The 21748-nt window shown below is 42.8% G+C and overlaps 1 pseudogene across 3 annotated transcripts, besides 1 other annotated feature; it reads right to left on the bottom strand.

The window, feature by feature from the left end:
* Positions 292-792: an enhancer, noted in NCBI's record as "H3K4me1 hESC enhancer chr11:18243023-18243523 (GRCh37/hg19 assembly coordinates)". NCBI's record gives its function as "activates a minimal SCP1, AML or CMV promoter by ChIP-STARR-seq in naive H9 embryonic stem cells {active_cell/tissue: H9 hESC(naive)}" and the evidence as "EXISTENCE:reporter gene assay evidence [ECO:0000049][PMID:30033119]".
* On the bottom strand, positions 8690-13130 carry SLC25A51P4 (SLC25A51 pseudogene 4; annotated as a pseudogene). Of its 3 annotated transcripts, NR_026564.1 has the most exons (3): positions 13075-13130; positions 11598-12782; positions 8690-9187 (listed from the first exon to the last, which is right to left on the bottom strand). The product of NR_026564.1 is annotated as an SLC25A51 pseudogene 4, transcript variant 3 (transcript). The 3 variants fall into 3 exon arrangements; NR_026563.1 differs by lacking the exon at positions 13075-13130 and having other exon boundaries at positions 11598-12983; NR_026541.1 differs by lacking the exon at positions 8690-9187 and having other exon boundaries at positions 10760-12782.
* Positions 13131-21748: the final 8618 nt, after the last annotated feature.

Genomic DNA, 21748 nt, shown 5'->3' with positions numbered 1-21748 from the left:
GGGATTACAGGTGTGAGCCACCGCGCCTGGACACAAAAGTTATTCCTAACAGGAATTTTGTAAAACAACAGCAGCAACAACAACAACAACAACAAAAAACACCTCAGAGATTGTTACTATGTCCTGTGAAACCCTATAATATCTTATTTAATGTTTAGACTTTAATCTATACCTTTGAAACAAAATCATTATTTTGATGGAATCTACTAGACTAGAAAAAAATGATGTTGGATTGTGCCAAGTTTTGGCAAGGATGTAGAGCTATAGAAATCCTCCTGTACTGCTAGAGCATGTAGATGGGTTATCATCCTGGAGAGCAGTGTGACACTTGGAAGTAAAAGAAAGACATATGGACTAACAATATCACTCTGTTGATATACACGGTGATGGCAATGGTGGCCTGCCTGGTGTGGGCACTGCCAAGATGCTGTCAGCAGCAAGGAAGGCGCAACTGGGCTGTGGGCTCTGCAGAGCCAGAGAGAGCCAGGAGCAGACAGGAGCCTTGCCCTCCTGGGTGTGGCTGCACCTGCCCAAGCTGTGGCTGTGGACCTGGGAATCCCTGTCCTCCCCTGTGCTCTTGAGGGCTGGGAGCAGGCAGGAGCCCCACTCTCCCAGGTGTGGCTGCAGCTGCCCAAGACATGGCTGCGGACCTGGGCCTGCACTCTTGGCCCCCATCCCTGCAGGCTCGGAAGTGCCTACCACTGCTGCCTGGCCTCTCCCCACTCCCGGTGTTCACTCTGATCTCAGAGCAAAGTTGAGGTCAAGCCTGGGCACTGTCATCACCCGGCTGGGAGTGCACACACTTGGGGCAGTGCTGACATGCCAGCCCCCTGCTGCCTCAGCCCCCTCTGGACTTTGGGCATTGATGAGCACAGGAGGGAGGCAAAGGTGGCTGCTGAAGGCAGCTCAGTGATGGCCTGCAGGTGCCCCTCTGCACAAACAGCCTGGGCACCATGAACAGTGGCAGGAGGCAGACAGGCTCCTGGGCAGAAAGGCGCAGGTCCCTGGTGAAGCCCTACCTTTAAGCCAGGGATGACTGGAAGCCTGGGGGCCAGGCTGCCAGTTCCATGGACCAGAATAAGAACTTATAGTGCCTTTTCCAGGCCTGTCCATGGCTACCTGTGGGCCAATCAGCATGCACTTCCTTCCTTCTCAGCCCATAAAGACCCCAAGCTCAGCCAGACTCAGACACTCCACAGGACAACCAGCTGTGGAGAGGAGCTGCCCACTCCAAGGTCTCCTCTCTGCTAAAAGCTGGGAAGATGTTGGGACTACCAGCAGTGGGAAGGAGCTACCCAATTCAGGTCTCTTCAACTTGATAGGATGACCTGCCTGTGGAGAGGAGCCACCCACTCCAGGGTCTCCTCTAAGATATTCTGTCACTCAATAAAGCTCTTATTCACCTTGCTCACTCTCCTCTTGTCTCTGTACCTCATTCTTCCCGGATGTGGGACAAGAACCCAGGACCCTCCAGACCCACTGGATAGCAGGACTGAAAGAGCTGTAACACAAACTGGACTGAAACATCCCTCTTGTTCGCCACACTGTGGGCAACATGAAGGAGAGAAGAGAGGAGAGAAGAGCTGTGACCCTTCAGGGAGCCCAGACCTAGGAGTTCCCCAAGCTAGGGGCGTGACACCCTCTTTGAGGTTCCGTGGTTCCTGGCATCTCCAAGCTTCCAGGTACCACCGTGTTCCCTGGTACCCTCAGTGGAAGCCATTTGCAGTGGAAGCCCATGCTGGTGCCTGGAGCTGCCTGCCCCACTGCAGCCAGTAGGCCTGGCTGTCCCCTCGCTCATTCATGCATCCCTTGCCACTCTGTGCCTGGTTTGCCCTTGGCAGGCATGACCTTGGGGCCAGTAGCACTAGCCAAATGCAGCCTGCCAGGCAGAGTGAATGGAATGAGCCTAGCAGGACTGAGCAAAACTTGGGCAAAGGCACCCCTGGCCACAGAGGTTTCCAGCAGGTGGAGTCTTTAGGTTTTTCCAAATATAAGATTATATAATCTGCAAACAAGGATAATTTGACTTCTTCCTTTCCAATTTGGATGCCCTTTATTTATTTCTCTTGTCTGATTGCTCTAGCTAGGACTTCCAGTATTGTGTTGAATGACAGGGGTGAAAATGGGCATCCTTGTTGTATTCCCCTTCTTAGAGGAAAGGCTTTCAGTTTTCCTCATTCAGTATGTTGCTACTTGTGAGTCTGTCATATATGGCTTTCATTATTTTGAGATATGTTCTTTCTCTCTCCAGTTTATTCAGGGTTATTATCATGAAGGGATGTTGAATTTTCTCAAATGCTTTTTCAGCATCAATGGAAATTATCATACGGCTTTTATTCTTCATTCTGTTTATATGATGTATCACATTGGTTGATTTGCATATGTTGAACCATGGTTGATTTGCATATGTTGAACCATCTTTGCATCCCAGGGATAGATCCTACTTGGTCATAATGAATGATCTTTTTAATGTATTATTAAATTCAGTTTGCTAGTATTTTGCTGAGGATTTTTGCATCAATATTCATCAGAGATATTGGCCTGTAGTTTTATTTTTTTTGACATGTCTTTGTCTGGTTTTGGTATCAGGGTAATACTGGCCTCATAGAATGTGTTTGAAAGTATTTCCTCCTCCTCCTCCTCTATATTTTGGAATATTTTGAGTAGGATTGGTGTTAGTTCTTCTTTAAATGTTTGGTAGAATTCAGCAGAGAAGCCACCAAGTCCCAGGCTTTTGTTTACTGGGGGACTTTTTATTACGGTTTTGATCTTATGACTTGCTATTGTTTTTGTTCAGGTTTTGGATTTCTCCCTGGTTCAATATTGGTAGGTTATGTATGAGTCTAGGAATTTGTCCATTTCTTCTAGATTTTCAAATTTATTGGCATATAGTTGCTCATGATAGCCACTAATGATCTTTTGAGTTTCTGCAGGGTCAGTTATAATGTCTCCTTTTTCATTTCTGATTTTATTTATTTGGATATTCTATTTTTTTTTTAGTTAGTCTAGTTAGTCTGGCTAAAGGTTTGCCAGTTTTGTTTAACTTTTCAAAAAACCTACTTTTTGTTTCATTGATTTTTGTATTCTTTTCTTCACTTCAATTTCTTTTATCTCTGTTCTGATCGTTACTATTTGTTTTCTGCTACCAATTTTGGTCTTGGGTTTCCTCTTGTTTTTGTAGTTCTTTAAGATGCATTGTTAGATTGTCTATTTGAAGTTTTTATTCTTTTTTGGTTAGGCACTTATACCTATAAACTTCTCTCTTAGTACTGCTTTTGCCGTATCCGATAGGTTTTGGTATGTTGTGTTTCCATTATCATTTGTTTCAAGACATTTTTCAATTTCCTTCTTACTTTCTTCATTGACCCACTGGTCATTCAGAAACATATTGTTTAATTTTTATGCATTTGTACAGTTTCCAAAATTTTTCTTGTTATTAATTTCTAGTTTTATTCCATTGTGGATAGAGAAGGTGCTTGATATGAGTGCAATTTTTTGAATGTTTTAAGACTTGTTCTGTGACCTAACATATGGCCTATCCTTGAGAATAATTCATGTGCTGAGGAAAAGAATGTGCATTCTGCAGCTGTTGGATAAAATGTTTTGTAAATATCTATTAGATCATTTGATCTATAGTGCAGATTAAGTCCAATTTTTTGTGTGATTGATTTTCTGTCTGGAAGATCTGTCCATTGCTGAAAGTGGGGCATTGAAGCCTCCACCTATTATTGTGTTGCAGTCTATCTCTCTTGTTAGCTATGATATTTGTTTTATATATCTGGGTGCTCCAGCATTGGGTGCATATATATTTACAATTGTTATATCCCTTGCCGAATTGACTCCTTTATCATTATATAGTGACCTTCTTTGTTTCTTTTTATGGTTTTTGTTTTGAAATCCATTTTGTCTCATATAAATATAGCAACTCCTGCTCTTTTTTGGCTTTCATTGGCATGGAATATCTTTTTCCATTCCTTTATTTTTAGTCTATGTGTGTCTTTATAGGTGAAGCATGTTTCTTGTGGGCAACAAATCAGTGGGTCTTGTTTTTTTAAATCCATTCAGCCACTCTATATCTTCTTATTGGAGAATTTAGTCCATTTACATCAATGTTATTATTAATAAATAAGGAGTTACTTCAGCCAATTTTTTTTGTTTTCTGTTTTGTGAACTTCTCTTCCTTCTTTCTTTCCTTCCTGTCTTCCTTTAGTTAAGGTGATTTTCTGTGGTGATATGGTTTGTTTCTTGCTTTTTATTTTTTTGTATATTTATTGTATGTTTTTTTGGTTTGAGGTTACCATGAGGCTTGCAAATACTATCTTATAACCCATTGCTCTAAGCCAGTAAGAACTTAACACTGTTTGCATGAACAACAACAACAACAACAAAACAAATAAGCAAAGAGAAAACTAATAAGAACTTTACATCTTAACTACATCCCCTGACTTTTAAACTTTTTGTCGTTTCTACTTATATCTTATCGTTTCTACTTATATCTTATGTACCATCTATGAGTTGTAGCTATTATTTTTGATTGGTCCAGTGTTTAGTCTTTCTACTTAGGATAAAAGCTGTTTACACACCGCAGTTACTATGTTATGATATTCTGTGTTTTTCGGTGTACTTACTATTACCAGTGAGTTTTGTACTTTCAGATGATTACTTATTGCTCATTAACATCCTTTTCTTTTTGATTGAAGTATTCCCTTTAGCATTTATTGTAGGACAGGACTAGTGTTGATGAAATCTCTCAGCTTTAGTGTGTCTGGAAAATCTTTATTTCTCCTTCATGTCTGAAAGATATTTTTGCCAGGCTTACTATTCCAGGGTAAAAATTTTCTCCCTTCAGCACTTTAAGTATGTTATGCCCCCTCTCCTAAGCCTGTAAGGTTTCACTGACATGTCTGTTGCCATATGTATTGGAACTCCATTGTATGTTGTTTATTTTCTCTTGCTGCTTTTAGGATCCTTTCTTTATCATTTAAAAGTTTTATTATTATTATTGTCATTTTTTGAGACAGGGTCTCACTCTGTCACCCAGGCTGGTGTGCAGTGGTGCAGGCTCAACCTTCTAGGATCAAGTAAACTTCCCACCTCAGACCCCTGATAGCTGGGACTACAGGCATGTGAAAGCATATCTGGCTAATTTTTTGTATTATTGCAGAGGCAGGCTGGTCTCAAACCCCTGGATTCAAGTGATTCATTTGCATCTGTCCCACAAAGTGCTGGGATTACAGATATGAGCTACTGTGCCTGGACAGAAGTTTGATTATTAAGTGCCTTGAGGTAGTGTTCTTTGAGTTAATTCTGCCTGGTGTTCTATAACCTTCTAGTACTTGGATATTAATATTTTTCTCTAGGTTTGGGAAGTTCTCTGTTATTATCCCTTTGAATAAACTTTCTACCCCATCTCTTTCTGTACCTCCTCTTTAAGGCCAATAACTCTTGGATTTGCCTTTCTGAGACTGTTTTCTAGATCCTGTAGGTGTGCTCCATTGGTTTTTATTCCTTATTCTCTTGCTTTTTTGATTATTATTATTATTATTTTTTCAGACAGAGTATCACTCTGTTGCCCAGGCTTGCTGCAACCTCTGCTTCCTGGGCTCTAGTGATTCTTGTGCCTCAGCCTTCCAAATAGCTGGAACTACAGGTGCACATCACCACACCCAGCTAATTTTTGTATTTTTAGTAGAGATGGGGTTTTGCCATATTGCCCAGACTGGTTTCAAACTCCTGGCCTCAACCAATCCACCCACCTCAGCCTCCCAAAATGCTGGGATTATAGGCATGAGCCCCTGCACCCAGCCTGTTGAGTATTTTCAAATAAGCTGTCTTCAAGCTCACTAATTCTTTCTTCTGCTTCATCAGTTCTGCTATTAAAAGACTCTGATACATTCTTCAGCATGCCAATTGCATTTTTCAGCTCCAGAATTTCTGTTTAATTCTTTTTAATTATTTCAGTATCTTTGTTAAATTTATCTGATAGAATTATAAATTTATTCTCTGTGTTATTTTGAATTTCTTTGAGTTTCCTTAATGCAGCTATTTTGAATTTTCTGTCTGAAAAGTCACGTATCTCTATTTATCCAGGATAGGTCTCTGGTGCCTTATTTAGTTCATTTGATGAGGTCATGTTTTTCTAAATTGTGTTGATGCTAATAGATGTTCTTCAGTGTCTGGGCACTGAAGAGCTAAAGTATTTATTGTAGTGTTCTGTCTGGGATTTTTTGTACTCAACTTTCTTGGGAAGCCTTTCCAGATATCTGGACAGATTTGAGTATTTTGATCTAAACTGTATGTGTTTTAGCAGGCATCCCAAGACCAGTAAAGCTGTGGTTCTTGCAGACTTGTAGAGGTACTGCCTTGATGGTTTTGGACAATATTCAGGATAATTCTCTGGATTACCAAGCAGAGACTCTTGTTCTCTTCTCTTACTTCTCCCAAACAAATTGAGTCTGTCTCCCTGTTCTAAGCCACCTAAAGTTGGGGGTGGAGTGACACAAGCACCCCTGTGGCCACAACCACTGTGACTGGTCTGGGTCAGACCTGAAGCCAGCACAGCACAAGGTCTTGCCGAAGGTCTGCTATAACCACTCTCTGGCTACTGCCTATGTTCACTCAAGGCCCTGGGGCTCTACAATCAGCAGGTGGCAAAGCCAGTCAGGCCTGTGTCCTTCCCTTCAGGGTGGTGAGTATCCTCAGGTTCCAGGTGGGTCTAGAGGTGCCAACCAGGATTCAGGGACTAGAGTCCAAAACCTTAGAAATTTACCTGTTTTCTATTGTACTACAGCTAGGGTGGCACTCAAACCACAAGATGCAGTTGTTCCCACTCTTCCCTCCCCTTTTTAAAGGCAAAGAAGCCTCACCCCGTGGCCACTACCACCACAGGCTTACAGGTAGTACCACCAGACTAATACCAATGTTCCCTTAAAGCCCAAGGGCTCTTTAGTCAGTTTGTGGTGAATGTTGTGTGGCTTAAAAGTCACCCTTCAGAGCAGTGGGGTCTCCTCTGTCCAAGGGCAGGTCCAGAAATGCCAAGAGCCACGTCCTGGAATTGGGCACCCCAACAGCCTGCTTGGTGCTCTACCCCATGTGGCGCTGGTGGCACCTGTGCACCAGTGCAAGGTGAAGCCTCCTTTACTTTTTCCTCTGATTTTCTCAAGCAGAAGGAGTTTCACTCCATCGCCACCACTGCTGGTAATGTGCTGAGTGTCACCTGAAGCAGCAAGTCCTGAGGCTCACTCAAGGCCCTCAATATAGTACCTGGGTATTGCTGCTGGTTATTCAGGGCCCAAGGGCTCTTCAGTTAGTGGGTGATGCATGGCGCCAGGACTGGGTTTTTCTTTTCAAAGCTGTGGGTTCCCTTCAGGCCAGGGTGTATCTGGAAATGTTATCCAGGAGCCAGGGCCTTGTGACTCTGACTAGTGCCCTATTTTTCTGTGGCTGGGTGGGTATTCAAGATGGAAGACAAAGTTCTCCCCACTCTTCCCTCTCATCTCCTTAAGTGGAAGGCTGAATTCTCTTTTGGAACCACAAACTGTGCAGCCTGGGCTTAGGGGAGGGTGATACCAGCACTCCCTTAGCACCCCAGCTGGTGTCTCAGTAATTTGTCTGCCCCTACGTGCCGTCCTTGCCCAGTCCACTGTGTCTGGGCCTGATTCAGCACTAGGACTCACCTAAGAGTTGCAGTCTGTATTAGTCAGAGTTTTCTTTCTTTCTTTTTTTTTTGACTTGAAAAACAAACTTTATTCCAAATTATCCAAAAAAAGTGTTAACTCTGGAACATTTAACAGATTTCATTTAAACTCATATGGTCATAAAACTCAAACTATCAAACAAAAATAGCAGTGTGTGCTTAACCACTTTTAATAATGAACCTTTAAGAGGAAACATTTAGAGACTCCCACAAAATTTGGGAGCCACTAGGCAACATGTATTTAATATTAAACAAAGACAGCATTAAAAACTAAAAATCCTCAAATTTCAAGAGAATGCCTGTTCAAGTCTTTGATATGCATTTGCACATGATAAAAGAAATATTTTAATTTAAAAGAAACCAAGTCTGAGTGCTTACCCTTTCTTCAAATGTAATCTCCTGTTCTCCCTTCATATTATGACTGCATACCCCTCACTCTACTTCATCTACACTGAACCAGTGTTAGTTCAACATGATTGTCTTCACTCAAAGCCCTCTAGATCCTATTTCATATATCCCATCGACCACCATTATTTCCTTACATGTTTGCACAGCCTTATACTGAGTATTACATTGTAACTGGGCTTGGGAATTTCAGGTATCCAAAGGTAATTATATACACACATGTTTCTGTTTTATTGCACAGTTCACAATATAGCCGGTGATTACACAGCCAAACATGTTAAGATGAATATTGACTATTTAGACAAAAACATCGATTTTGTCCCCAACCACAAATGAAACAAGAAAGACACACATATTCGCCACCATATAAAGGTTGTGTTTACTCTGTGGTGCAGTCCTGAGGGATCATATCACTCTAAGTGTGTTAAATCCAGAATCCATAACATTTCTGATGGCATCAGACATGAAGTATAGGACACAAGACCATAAATGTCCTGCTCTCATGAGCCATTTGTGCCACATATGTAACAGAAAGGGCACTTTTAAAGCTTTTCAGATATTCAATCATGTTTGCCTTTTCAAGTTTTTTTTTTTTTTTTTTTTTGAGATGGAGTCTTGCTCTGTCGCCCAGGCTAGAGTACGGTGGCACTGTCTCGGCTCACTGCAACTTCCGCCTTCTGGGTTCAAGTGATTCTCCTGCCTCAGCCTCCTCAGTAGCTGGGATCACAGGCATGTGCCACCATGCCCTGCTAATTTCTTATATAATAGAGATGGGGTTTCACCATGTTGGCCAGGCTGGTCTTGAACTCCTGACCTCAAATGATGTGCCCGTCTCGGCCTCCCAAAATTCTGGGATTACAGGCATGAGCCACTGTGTCCAGCCTGCTTTTTCAAAATTATTACCACACTGGTTCACACTGAAGGTAAAAGCAATAGCTAGAATCTCTTATTAACAACACATTTTGACTTCAAGTTCAGACAAAGCTGTTGGTTACAAGTTCAGCTGAATTTTTGTCAAATTTAAGAAGTCTGTAGGACAACACAAAACCATCCCTGGTAATATATTTGCAGTCTGGTCTTCAAAAGCTGTAAAAAGTGACAAAGAAATTTAAAAAAATTAAGTTGAAACCTTTAAAAATATTTATTTATTTATTTTTTGAGATGGAGTCTTGCTCTGTTGCCCAGGCTGGAGTGCAGTGGCATGATCTCAGCTCACTGCAAGCTCTGCCTCCTGGGTTCACGCCATTCTCCTGCCTCAGCCTCCTGAGTAGCTGGGACTACAGGCACCCGCCACCACGCCCGGCTAAATTTTTGTATTTTTAGTGGAGACAGGGTTTCACCGTGTTAGCCAGGATGGTCTTGATCTCCTGACCTTGTGATCCGCCCGCCTCGGCCTCCCAAAGTTCTGGGATTACAGATGTGAGCCACCGCGCCCAGCCTAAAAATATTTATTAATAATTGTTTTTAAATGCCACTTATTTGAGACAGCAGAAACCAAAGCATTTTCCTTAGAATTCTCACTTAGCTTATATTTCACAAAAGTGCTTCAGATTTCTACCACCTGTATGGAGTGTAAAGACAAAAAGGAAGCCCAACAAAATCAAAGGCCCAGTGGTGTTTATTCCCAGGGCGAAGGCATAACCCCAGGCTAACCCACATGCCCTGTGCTGAGTAGCTGGACACACCTGTGAAGTGCACACATGAATGAGGGGATCAGGCACCAAGGTGCTTTTATTCATTCATTTCTCAAACTCAACTCCCTTCAAATCCTGACTCTATTTAATAGGCCAAAGGATGCTATTCATATTTATTTCATATTTATTTGGTGCCAAATTATTATTATTTTCAAATCCTTACATCTGCACCTTGAAAGTAAACTGCAATATCCAGCACAGCATTGTCAGACAGAGCTGCTGTATGGCTATTAAGTTCATTACTGCCTGGCTAATACTTAATATGCTTCATTCTTTATAGCTGGAAGAAGGATGTTCACTGTATTTAACCAGCCATACAGCATTTAGAGGTAAACAGCTTTTACGGACTATTTGCCCAGAAACTTTAAGTAAACTACCAAGTTGAGGCCCTGATTTTATTTTGGTCAGTATGTGCACATATTCACATGCAATTACCCAGAAAGAAGAAAAACTGATTAACAAGAAACCTACCATCATGTCAGATGCTGGAAGTCAATCTTTAACTACATAATATTTACAGAAAGGGTTTTAAGATTCATAATCCACTTTTTCAGTCTGTCTCTTACGTTTCATTAGTCAATTAGAAGTGGCACATGAGTCATTTTGCTTTATCTGAAAAAAATATTTTCACATTTTCCAATTCCTTTGACAAAGAAGTTTTCATCTGTTGAGGGATGAGAATGCTATTTGGCTATTACCTACTGTTAGAATTCAAACTACCCCTTGAAATGTCTTTATTTAGATCATATGCTCTCAAATTATCTTATTGTTTTACTGACACAAGGGTAAAACTGGGTTCCCAAAATGTCAAAACTCTAATAGAGTCTCTATTTCCAAGAGTATAATAAAAGACAGCCAACACTGTGCGGTGAAAACTATCCTGAGCCCTTTTCCCCCCTCTGCAATATTTAGAAACCCAGGGTGGGGGGAAGTGGGATTGCATTAATAAACTTCTGAAACAAAATGTTATGGAAGTGTTTATTTTTTAAAAGGAGAGTTTTAAGAGAACAGGATGCTTGAATATGACCAACTCCTACTCAAGGGGAAAAATAACCACAGTCCTTTGCTGAGATGGCACCAATAATTCAAAGAAACCAAGCTAAACAGAATTTTATCTATACACAATTAATATGAAAACTTGTTGGAACACCTATTACAAAATTTAAGTCCCTTCATCTTTTGACAATGAAATAAGTGCAATTAACATAAGGATATTTTGGAAGGGTTGAAGGCCACAGTCAGAATCAAACAGAAAACTTTCAAACCCACAGAGCAAAATGAGAACTTTCATAGCTCCTTGATCTACCGTATCTGAATAGAAATAGGATAACGACTATCCAATAGGTGCTTAGTTTCAAAACTAATACAAGCAATTTATCAAGAAAAGCCTATACCTAATAAGCTGTTTTTCTTCTCTGTTCTGCCTCTTTGTCATATGCTTGAGCTTAATGAAGACTACCCTCTGCAGCTGCCCCTGGGGGCAGAGAAGCAAGCAATGGAGTAACAAAGGAAGACTGAGGAGCCCCTGGCCCCTGAGGACCTTCTCTCTGGCCAGTCACAGCCGTTTATGTTTCAATGCAGAAGATTTCAAGACTGGTTTGAGAAAAAGAATCTTATCTTGGGGATTAGGTTCCCTGTCAAAGGCCATCAGATGGACAGCTATTTACCAGGCAATTAGCCTAAGTATCTTAGGTAATGATAAAAAACAAAACAAAACACAAAAAAACCCTTATATTTTCCTATTGGAACCTTTTATTCTATTTTGTTGATGCTTAAGGAAAACAGCTTTGCCCATAACTCACTGTGGCCTGGAGTTATGACACCAACTTGTATTTGGCCAATTAAGGAAGAGGCCAAACTGCATTCTTCTTAGAAGGTCTATTCAGTTGATAAGTGGCACTTAACTGATGTTTTTTTTCATATAACCTTTGCATTGATTATGCCCCAAGAGATAAGGGACAGATGGTAATTCAGATGAGAACCTCTGAAAAGATTTATCAGTTTTCTGTCCCGTTCCAGCCAGATTTTTTGGAAAACCTTGGGGAAAGACTGAAATTCCCCACCAATCTGAGACTGTATGCGAGTTTTTACAACATTAATTGGAAAAAACAGGAATCCCAACATGGCACCCAATAGACCTCCACCGATAAAATCATTGACCAAATGAGAATTGTGAGTCGTCGCGGTAGGCAGATGCTCCTTAACGTGACCTCGAAGGCCGAAAAAAAAAAGACATTGCTGAGTCCATTCTGGAAAAGAATGGGCACCAAACCTCGATAAAACTCTCCAATTCCATGACATTTCAGTGCCTTGAAAGCCTGATAAATGTTGGCAAATTTGTCATGGTGCTTGTGGTCTTGAAGCAATGTCTGAAGTGAAAATTGCTTCCGTTGTCCCTGCAAGCACTGCTGCCACGCCACAGGTTGCAAACTCTGGAGCACTGACATGCTTGTGGAGAAGGTAGGATAAATCCTCATACAGACCAAACGTAAGTGCAAGTGTAGTTGTCTTCTGCATCAATCGGGGAAAGATTCCCCGATACAAGTTTCGAAATCCATCCGTTCTCAACTGAAGTATTGCATCCCCCGTTTTGATGCCATACAGCTGTTGTGGAAAGAGGACCTTCTGAATGGGAAATGTGATTGCGACGTTGTTGAAGGCTGCACAGCAGCCACACAAGTAATGCTTCATTTCACTAAATCTGTAATATGAGGTGACATATCTTGTTTCGAAGATGTTAGTATTGGTGGTCTCTTTCCATGAGCTTCTGAATCCATCATGTTGCTTAAGTTCTTCTTTTTTCATGAAGGACTTTTTCTTTTTTTTTTTTTAAACCTGTAACACCATCCAAGCCTGGAGTTTAACAGAATGATAGCTTTTTGATAATATTCCCAATTTCTTCCATTGTTATTGTTCTGTTAGGTTCTCTCTTCTGGAGTCAATTTTGATAACTGGATTTCCGTTCTCCAGGCGTCCATTTCCCCAGTCTGTGAAAAGCGGGGAGGGGGTTGGACAAGATCACTAAACCCTGTTCCGTCTTTGACACTCCACAGTCAGCGGTCCCGAGGTGAGGAGGCCAGAAATCCCAGTCTCCCGGGAGGCAGGGGCCCTTGCGCGGTGCCAGCTCTGCTCCCTCCGGAGCTCAGGCAGAGCCAGGCTCCTACCCGCCCCTGCGGTTCCTGCGCACCAGGGAGGTGCCTCCCCAGCCCGGGGCGCGACCGAATGAAGGCACAACCTCCTTCGCGGGAAAGGTCGCCCAGCAGCCGGACAAATACCCACCGCAGGAGAAAGAGCCGGGAACCGAAGAGACTCAACTGATTCCGCGCGCGCCGCCTGGGCGCGTTTCACCTCTCTCCAACCATATGCGAGGGGAGCCCGGTCCTTCCCCACGCCCGCCCCGCACTCACCCATCCTAGTTAGGGTTTTCTAGAAGGACAGTACTAATAAGATAGATGTATACATAAAGGGGAGTTTCTTAAGATTATTGACTCATACTATCACAAAGTGAGGTCTCACAACAGGCCCGTCGCAAAATGAGGAGCAAAGAAGCCATTCTGAGTCCCAAATCCTCAAAAGTAGGGAAGCCAACAGTGTAGCCTTCAGTCTGTGGTGGAAGGTCCAAGAGTCTCAAAGCTGAAGAACATGGAGCCTGATGTTCGAGGGCAGGAAGCATCCAGCACGGGAGAAAGATGTAGGCCAGAAGACTAAGTCAGTCTAGTCCTTCCATGTTCGTCTGCCTGCTTTTATTCTGGCCATGCTGGCAGCCCATTAGATTGTGCCCACCCAGATTGAGGGTGGGTGTGCCTTTCCCAGTCCACTGACTCAAATGTTAATCTCCTTTGACAACACCCTCACAGACACACCCAGGATCAATACTTTGCATCCTTCTATCCAATCAAGTTGACACTCAGTGTTAACCATCACACAGTCCTTATGGCCTTGACTGCCTTTCATATTTACTTAAAGAAACAGAGCAGTGTAGGTGGCAAGATTTGCAGGAACTCAAGTTCCAACCATTGGGCCTGTGATTCCTCTGTGGCTGGTCCTGGTTTAAAATCTCTCTGTGGGTGAGCATCATCTCAGTTTGGTCTGGTTTTCCTTTCTGCTCTAACAGGACGGTACTGAGTTCAATGGCTCATAATTGCTGTGTTCTCCCTCCCCCAGCACCCGATAGTCCACAAACCATGCAGCTGCTGCTGGGCTGTGGGAGAGAGGGGGTGTCAGCAATTCAAGACTGTTTTTTCTACCTCTTCAGAGCCTTTCAGTGATACCAAGTTAATACCAGGCACTATGAGGGCTCACCTAATTTACGGTTCTTAAGAAGGTTTTGTGTGTGTGTGTATGTGTGTGTGTAGATGGTTGTTAAATTGGTGTCCTTGTGGGGGGAATGATGGGTGGAGCCTTCTATTCTGCCATTTTGCCCTGCCTCCCCTTTTTCATTTTTTGAAATAATTTGAGAAGAATTGGTGTTAGTTCTTCATTGTAAGTTTGGTAGAATTCGGCAGTGAAACCATTCAGCCTTGGGGCTTTTCTTTGTTGAGAGACTTTTTATCACTCATTGAATCTTGTTACTTACTCATTATTGGCCTGTTGAGGTTTTTTATTTCTTCCTGATTCAACCTTGGTAAGTTGTATGTGTTTAGAAAATTATCCATTTCCTCTAGGCTTTCCAGTTTGTCAGTGTGCAGTTGTTCATACTAGTCTGATGATCTTTTTATTTAGATGTTATCAGTTGTAATATCTCTTTTTCATTTCTGATTTTATTTGGGACCTCTCTTTGTTTGGTTGGTATAGCTAGTAGTTTATTGATTTTATCTTTTTTTTTTCTTTTTGAGATAAAGTTTTATTTCTGTCACCCAGGCTGGAGTCAGTGGTGCGATCTTGGCTCACTACAACCTCCACCTCCCGGGCTCAAGAGATCCTCCCACCTCAGCCTCCGAAGTAGCTGGGACTACAGGCATGCACCACTGTGCCCGGCTAATTTGTGCATTTTTTTTTTTTTTGTAGAGACAGGGTTTCACTATGTTGCCCAGGCTGGTCTTGAACTCCTGAGGTCGTGATCCACCCACCTCAGCCTCCTGAAGTGCTGGGATTACGAGTGTGAGCCACCTTGCCCAGACTGAGTTTATCTTTCCAAAAAACCACTTTTTGTTTCATTGAACCTTTGTATATATTTTTTGTTTCTATTTTGTTTACTTCTGCTCTTATCTTTCTTCTTTCTACTAATTTTGGGCTTTGTTTGTTCTCACTTTTTTAGTTACTTGAGGTGTATCATTAGATTGTTTGTTGGAAATCTCTCAATTTTTTTGATGTAGATGTTTATTGCTATGGACTTTCCTCTTAGCATTACTTTTCCTGTATCCCATAGGTTTTGGTATGTTGTGTCTTGATTTTCATTTGCTTCAAGATTATTAAAAATTTCCTTCTTAATTACTTCCTTGACTAAAAGGTTGTCAAGGATCATGTTGTTGATTTCCATGTTTGTCTAATTTTCAAATAATAAGAATTATTGATTTCTAGTTTTATTCCATTGTGGTCTGAGAAGATACTTGATATAATTTAGACTTTAAAAAAAATTTGTTGAGACTTGTTTTGTGGCCTGTCATATGGTCTATCCCAAGGAATGTTCCTTGTACTGATGAGAAGAATGTGTAGTCTGTAGCTGTCATATGAAAAGTTCTATAAATTTGGTCTAAAGTGCAGTTTAAATCCACTGTTTCTTAGTTTATTTTCTGTCTAGATGATCTATCTAATAATTAGAGAGTGGGGTGTTGAAGTCCCCAACTTTTCTTGTATTGTAGTCTATCTTTCCCATTGGAGGTAATAATATTTGCTTTATATGTCCATATACTCCAGTGTTGGGTGCATACATATTTAGAATTATTTTATCTTCTTGCTGAGTTGATCCTTTTATCATTATATAATAACCTTCTTTGTCTCATTTTACTATTTTTGACTTAAAGTCTGTTTTATCTAATAGTACAGCTACTCCTGCTTGCTTTGGTTTCCATTTATGTGAAATATTTTTTTTCCACCCCTTTATTTTTAGTCTGTGTCTTTACAGGTAAAGTGAGTTCCTTGTAGGTGGTGGTATATGGTTTGGTCATTTTTTTATTTTTTATTTTATTTTTTGAGACGGAGTCTTGCTGTGTCCCCCAGGCTGGAGTGCAGCGGTGCAATCTCGTCTCACTGCAAGCTCCTCCTTCTGGGTTCATGCCATTCTCATACCTCAGCCTCCTGAGTAGCTGGGACTACAGGCGCCTGCCACCACGCCCGGCTAATTTTTTGTATTTTTAGCAGAGACGGGGTTTCACCATGTTAGCCAGGATGGTCTCGATCTCCTGACCTCGTGATCCACCTGCCTTGGCCTCCTTCCTTTCCCTTCCCTTCCCTTTTTTTTTTTTTTTTTAACTTTGTTCTGTTTAAAAAAGTCTGACTGGGTTATTTTGAAAGACTTGTCTTCACATTCTACAATTCTTTCTTCTGCTTGATATAGTCTATTGTTGAAGCTCTTGATTATTTTAAAATTTCATTTATTGAAATTAATCATTTTCAGGATTTCTGTTTGATTCCTTTTTAATGATATCTATCTCTTGTAAATTTCTCATTCATATCCTGAATTATTTTTCTAATTCTTTTGTATTATTTATCTGGGTTCTTGTGTATCTCACTGAGCTCCTTTTAAACAATTGTTTTGAATTCTTTTCCAGGCATTTCATAAGTTCCTTTTTCATTGGAATCTATTGCTGGATAATTATTGTGTTCCTTTGGAGGTGTCATATATCCTTGCTTGTTCATGTTTCTTTTGTCCTTTCATTAATATCTGTGCATCTGGTGTAAGAGTGGTTTTTAAAATTTTTTGGATTGGCATTTGTAGGGCAAGACTTTTTCCTGTAGATTTATCTATTGTATTGGTTGAGTAAAACACTTTAGGTTTGATTATGGGTACGTGCAGTAGTGTTGTCACCATATAATTTCTTTGCCTATGAATACTGTCAATATTGTCTGTGATTCCTTCAGTGACTTAGGCTGCAGTTGTTAATGGAGGATGTGATGAGGTTTTTCTGGGATAGGATGCCAGGTGGGCCAGTCCACAGGCCCCAGTGGTGGCAGCAGGCAGAGCATGCCTGTTCTTGGGCCCCTGGGTGGCATACACAGGCACTAGTGTTAGAGGGTCTTGGCAGGATGATTCTTGGGCTTCCAGTCAGCTTTCTTGGGTGCCAGTGATGACAGCACTTGGTCAGATAGGTGGGCAAGTCCTTGGTCTCTGAGCAGAGCGTGTGGTCATAAGTGATGACAATAGGCAGGGTGGGACAACCCTCAGGCTCCTAGGTGGCAAACACTGGTGTTAGCAGTGGGTGTGACAGGCTGGGCAGGCCAGTTTCCAGCTTCTCAGGTGGGTGTGGGTGAGTGCCAGTGGTGGCAGACTGGCAGGCCCATCTTCAGGCCCCCAGGAGGACAGTATAGATATCAGTGGTAGTAGATTAGGTGGGGCACCACTCAGGCCTTAGGGTGGTGTGCTTGGGCACTGAGGTGGGCCATGCCAGGTGGGGCAGGCCTGTCCTCAGTCTCCCCTTTATGGTGTCCACAGGCATAGGTTGTGGTAGGCTAGGTGGGGCAATCTCCAGGCTTCTGGATGGTGTGCTAGGGTGCTGGTGGTGGCAGGCATTCTGGAGTTGTCATTAGATCCTTTGGTGGTATACATGTGTGCCTTGGACAACTGATGGGTGGAACAATCCCAAGGCCCCCAGGCAGGGGGCTTGGGCCATGAGTGGCAGTGGCAAGATGAGCAGGTCTGTCCATAGGCCCTTCAGTGGCATACACAGGTGCAGGCTGCAGTGGGAGAGGTGAGGCTATCCTCAAGTTCTCGATGGTGTGCTTGATTGGCAGTGGCAGTGGTGGCAGTGGGTGGGAAAAGCCTGTCTTCTCAGGGCATGGGCAAGTGCATGGCAGCCCTGCTGCTGGGGAGAGGTAGAGTTGTTGACAGTGGCAGCCACCCCAGACAGGTGGCTCTCAGGATATGGGGAGTGCACACTTCATCCTAGTGGCAGTGGCTGGCAGGGAGAGCTTATTCTCAGAGTGCATGCAAGTGCATGGTAGTCCAGCTGCTGGTGGGAGCAGAGATGCCGTCAGTGGCAGTGGCATGAGGCAGGTGGGATTCAGGCTCTAGGAAAAATGTGATTTGACTCCCTTTATCCTGGGGGCAGTTTCCTTTGAGTGCGGCACCACCCTTTCCCCAGGGTGCAGGAGAGCATGTGGGCTAGAGTGCTGAAAACCTTGCAAGTCTGTTGCGTTTAACTGTGGCACTCCAGGTGAACATGGGGAGATGTTGGTGGGGCTCTGGGCAATATAGTGATGCAGGAGCTGTTGGATTCCAGGGCAGGATGTAGTCTTATGGGTTCTGGGCTCTCAAAATGGTACCATGCTGCAGCTGTCTGGGTATCCAGGAAATGTGTGGGACCTCGCATGAGCTCCCTTTCTGGAGCAATGTTGTAGTACAGACTCCAGGGGGCTCTCTATACCAGTCTCAGGGCCCATGGCAGTTGAGGGGCTCTCCGGTGGCTAAGATTGCAGGAGTTAATGATGGGAATGTGAAACTGCTGGAGATCTCTCTCTTACCCTTTCCCCACACTGGGGAGCTGCTCAGGGCTTCCAGCTGATCCCAGTTGGGCTTTCCCACTCGCCCCGCCGTCTTTTCATGCGTCAAGTGTTTTCTGTCACTTTTTTGCTGAATTCCAGCATTCTTTCTTAGACGCTCTGTTTGAAGTGTGATAATCCAGTCGCTATTTTGATTCTTCTCTGTGGAGGAGGCTAGTGTCCAGTGCTTCTAGTAAGCCATCTCAAAGCCCCTCCTCTATAGTTTTATTTTAAATTTATCAATATTAACAAGTAGATCAGTTGACTTCCCTTCTAAAAGGTGAAGAGTTAATCACATGTAAGTATCCTTCTTCTTCCTCCTTCCACTTCATGAAAATTGTTATTTATTTATTTTCATTTGGTATATATACTCACAATGGTATCTCTTATGAATTATCTTCTTGTGCCACATGCGACACTTAAATCAAGCTACTTGTCATTTAAAAAATGCCATTTGAATTAAAAATTATTTAAAATATTTAGAAAAGTTTTTTAATAGATTCATTCAGAAAATATTTATTAAGGATTGTGTAATGGGCTGAATTGTGTCACTGCAATGTTCATATATTGAAGTTCTCACCCCTAGTATGTCAGAAGACGACGGTATTTGGAGACAAAGTTTTTACAGAGTGAATGAAGTTAAAATGAGCGTGTTAGGGTGAGCCTTGATTGAATATGACTGATGTCCTTATAAGAAGAGGAGGTTAGGACACAGACACATAGAAGATCATGTGAAGAGGGGAGAAGAAGTTCCCATAAATAAGCCAAGGAAAGAGGCCTCAGAAGAAGCCACTATGAGATATCACTATACACCTCTTAGAATGGCTAAAAAAAGTTCATAGTTTCGAATGTTGGCAGAGGTTTGGAGAAACTCGATTTTTCATACATTGCCAGTAAGAAAGTAAAATAGTATAACTACTTTGGGAAACTCTTTCATATTTACCTAAAAAGGTATCTATATACACCATTCTTAACTAACAATCCATACTGGGCATTTATCCTAGAGAATGGAACTATGTTCACTTAAGAAATTTGCACACAAATGTTTATAGCAGTGATATGGTTTGGCTGTGCCCTCACCCAAATCTCATCTTGAATTGTAACTCCCACAATTCCCACATATCATGGCAGGAACCTGGTGGGAGGTGATTGAATTTTGGGGTGGGTCTTTCCCATGCTGTTCTTGTGATAGTGAATAAGCCTCATGAGATCTGATGGCTTTAAAAAATGGGAGTTTGCCTGCACAAGTTCTCTCTTTGCCTGCTGCCATCCACGTAAGATGTGACTTGCTACTCCTTGCCTTCTGCCATGATCATGAGGCCTCCCCAGCCATGTGGAGCTGTGAATCCAATTACACCTCTTCCTTCTGCAAGTTACCCAGTCTCGGGCATGTCTTTATCAGCAGCATGAAAATGGACTAATACAGTAAATTGGTACCAGTAAAGTGGGGTGTTGCTGAAAAGATACCTGAAAATGTGGAAGCAGCTTTGGAACTGGGTTACAGGCAGAGGTTGGAACAGTTTGGAGGGCTCAGAAGAAGACAGGAAAATGTGGAAATGTTTGGAATTTCCTAGAGACTTGTTGAATGGCTTTGACCAAAAGCCTGATAACAATATGGACAATAAGATCCAGGCTGAGATGGTCACAGATGGAGATGAGGAACTTGTTGGAAACTGGAGCGAAGGTGACTCTTGTTATGTTTTAGCAAAGAGACTGGTGGCATTTTGCCCCTGCCCTAGAGACTTGTGAAACTTTGAACTTGAGAGAGATGATTTAGCATATCTGGAAGAAGAAATTTCTAAGCAGCAAAGCATTCAAGAGGTGACTTGGGTGCTGTTAAAGGCATTCAGTTTTATAAGGGAAGCAGAGCATAAGAGTTTGGAAAATTTGCAGCCTGACAATGTGATGGAAAAGAAAAACCCATTTTCTGAGAAAAAATTCAAGCCAGTTGCAGAAATTTGCATAAGTAACGAGGAGCCCAATGTTAATCCTCAAGACAATGAAGAAAGTGTCTCTAGGGCATGTCAGAGGTCTTCACAGCAGCCCTTCCCATCACAGGCCCAGAGGCCTAGGAGAAAATAGTTTTGTGGGCTGGGCCCAGGGTCCCTGTGCTGTGTGTACCCTAGGGACATGGTACCTTATGTACCAGCCACTCCAGCCATGGCTGAAAGGAGCCAACATAGAGCTTGAGCCATGGCTTCAGAGGGTGCAAGCCTCAAGCCTTGGCAGCTTCCACATGGTGTTGAGCCTGCTAGTGCACAGTAGTCAAGAATTGGTGTTTGGGAACCTCCTCCTAGATTTCAGGGGATGTATGATAATGCCTGGATGTCCAGACAGAATTTTGCTGTAGGGGTGGGGCTGTCATGGAGAACCTCTGATGGAGCAGTGCAGAAGGGAAATGTGGGTCAGAGCCCCGACACAGAGTACCTATTGGGGCACTGCCTAGTGGAGCTGTGAGAAGCGGGACACCGTCCTCCAGGCCCCAGAATGGTAGATCCACTGACAGTTTGCACCGTGTGTCTGGAAAAGCTGCAGACACTCAACTCCAGTCCATGAAAGCAGCTGGGAGGGAGGCTGTACCCTGCAAGGCCACAGGGGCAGAGCTGCCAAGACCATGGGAACCCACCTCTTGCATCAGTGTGACCTGGATTTGAGACACGGAGTCAAAGGAGATCATTTTGGAGTGTTAAGATTTGACTGCCCTGCTGGATTTCAGACTTGCATGGGGCCTGTAAGCCCCTTTGTTTTGGCCAATTCCTCACATCTGAAATGGCTGTATTTACCCAGTGCCTGTACCCCCATTGTATCTAGTAAGTAACTAACTTGCTTTTGATTTTACAGGCTCATAGGTGAAAGGGACTTGCCTTGTCTCAGATGAGACATTGGACTGTGGACTTTTGAGTTAATGCTGAAATGAGTTAAGTCTTTTGGGGACTGTTGGGAAGGCATGATTGGTTTTGAAATGTGAGGACATGAGATTTGGGAGGGGCCAGGGGTGGAATGATATGGGTTGGCTGTGTCCCTACCCAAATCTCATCTTGAATTGTAACTCCCACAATTCCCACATATCATAGGAGGAACCCTGTGGGAGGTGATTGAATTTTGGGGCTGGTCTTTCCCGTGCTTTTCTTGTGATAGTGAATAAGTCTTTATGAGATCTGATGGCTTTAAAAAAATGGGAGTTTGCCTGCACAAGTTCTCTTTTTGCCTGCAGCCATTCACATAAGATGTGACTTGCTCCTCCTTGCCTTCTGCCATGATCATGAGGCCTCCCCAGCCATGTGGAACTGTGAGTCCAATTATACCTTTTCCTTTT

The sequence above is a fragment of the Homo sapiens genome, chromosome 11 (assembly GCF_000001405.40).
Source record: "Homo sapiens chromosome 11, GRCh38.p14 Primary Assembly".
Taxonomy (NCBI): Eukaryota; Metazoa; Chordata; class Mammalia; order Primates; family Hominidae; genus Homo; species Homo sapiens.
This window is presented reverse-complemented; position numbering and strand designations above follow the sequence as displayed.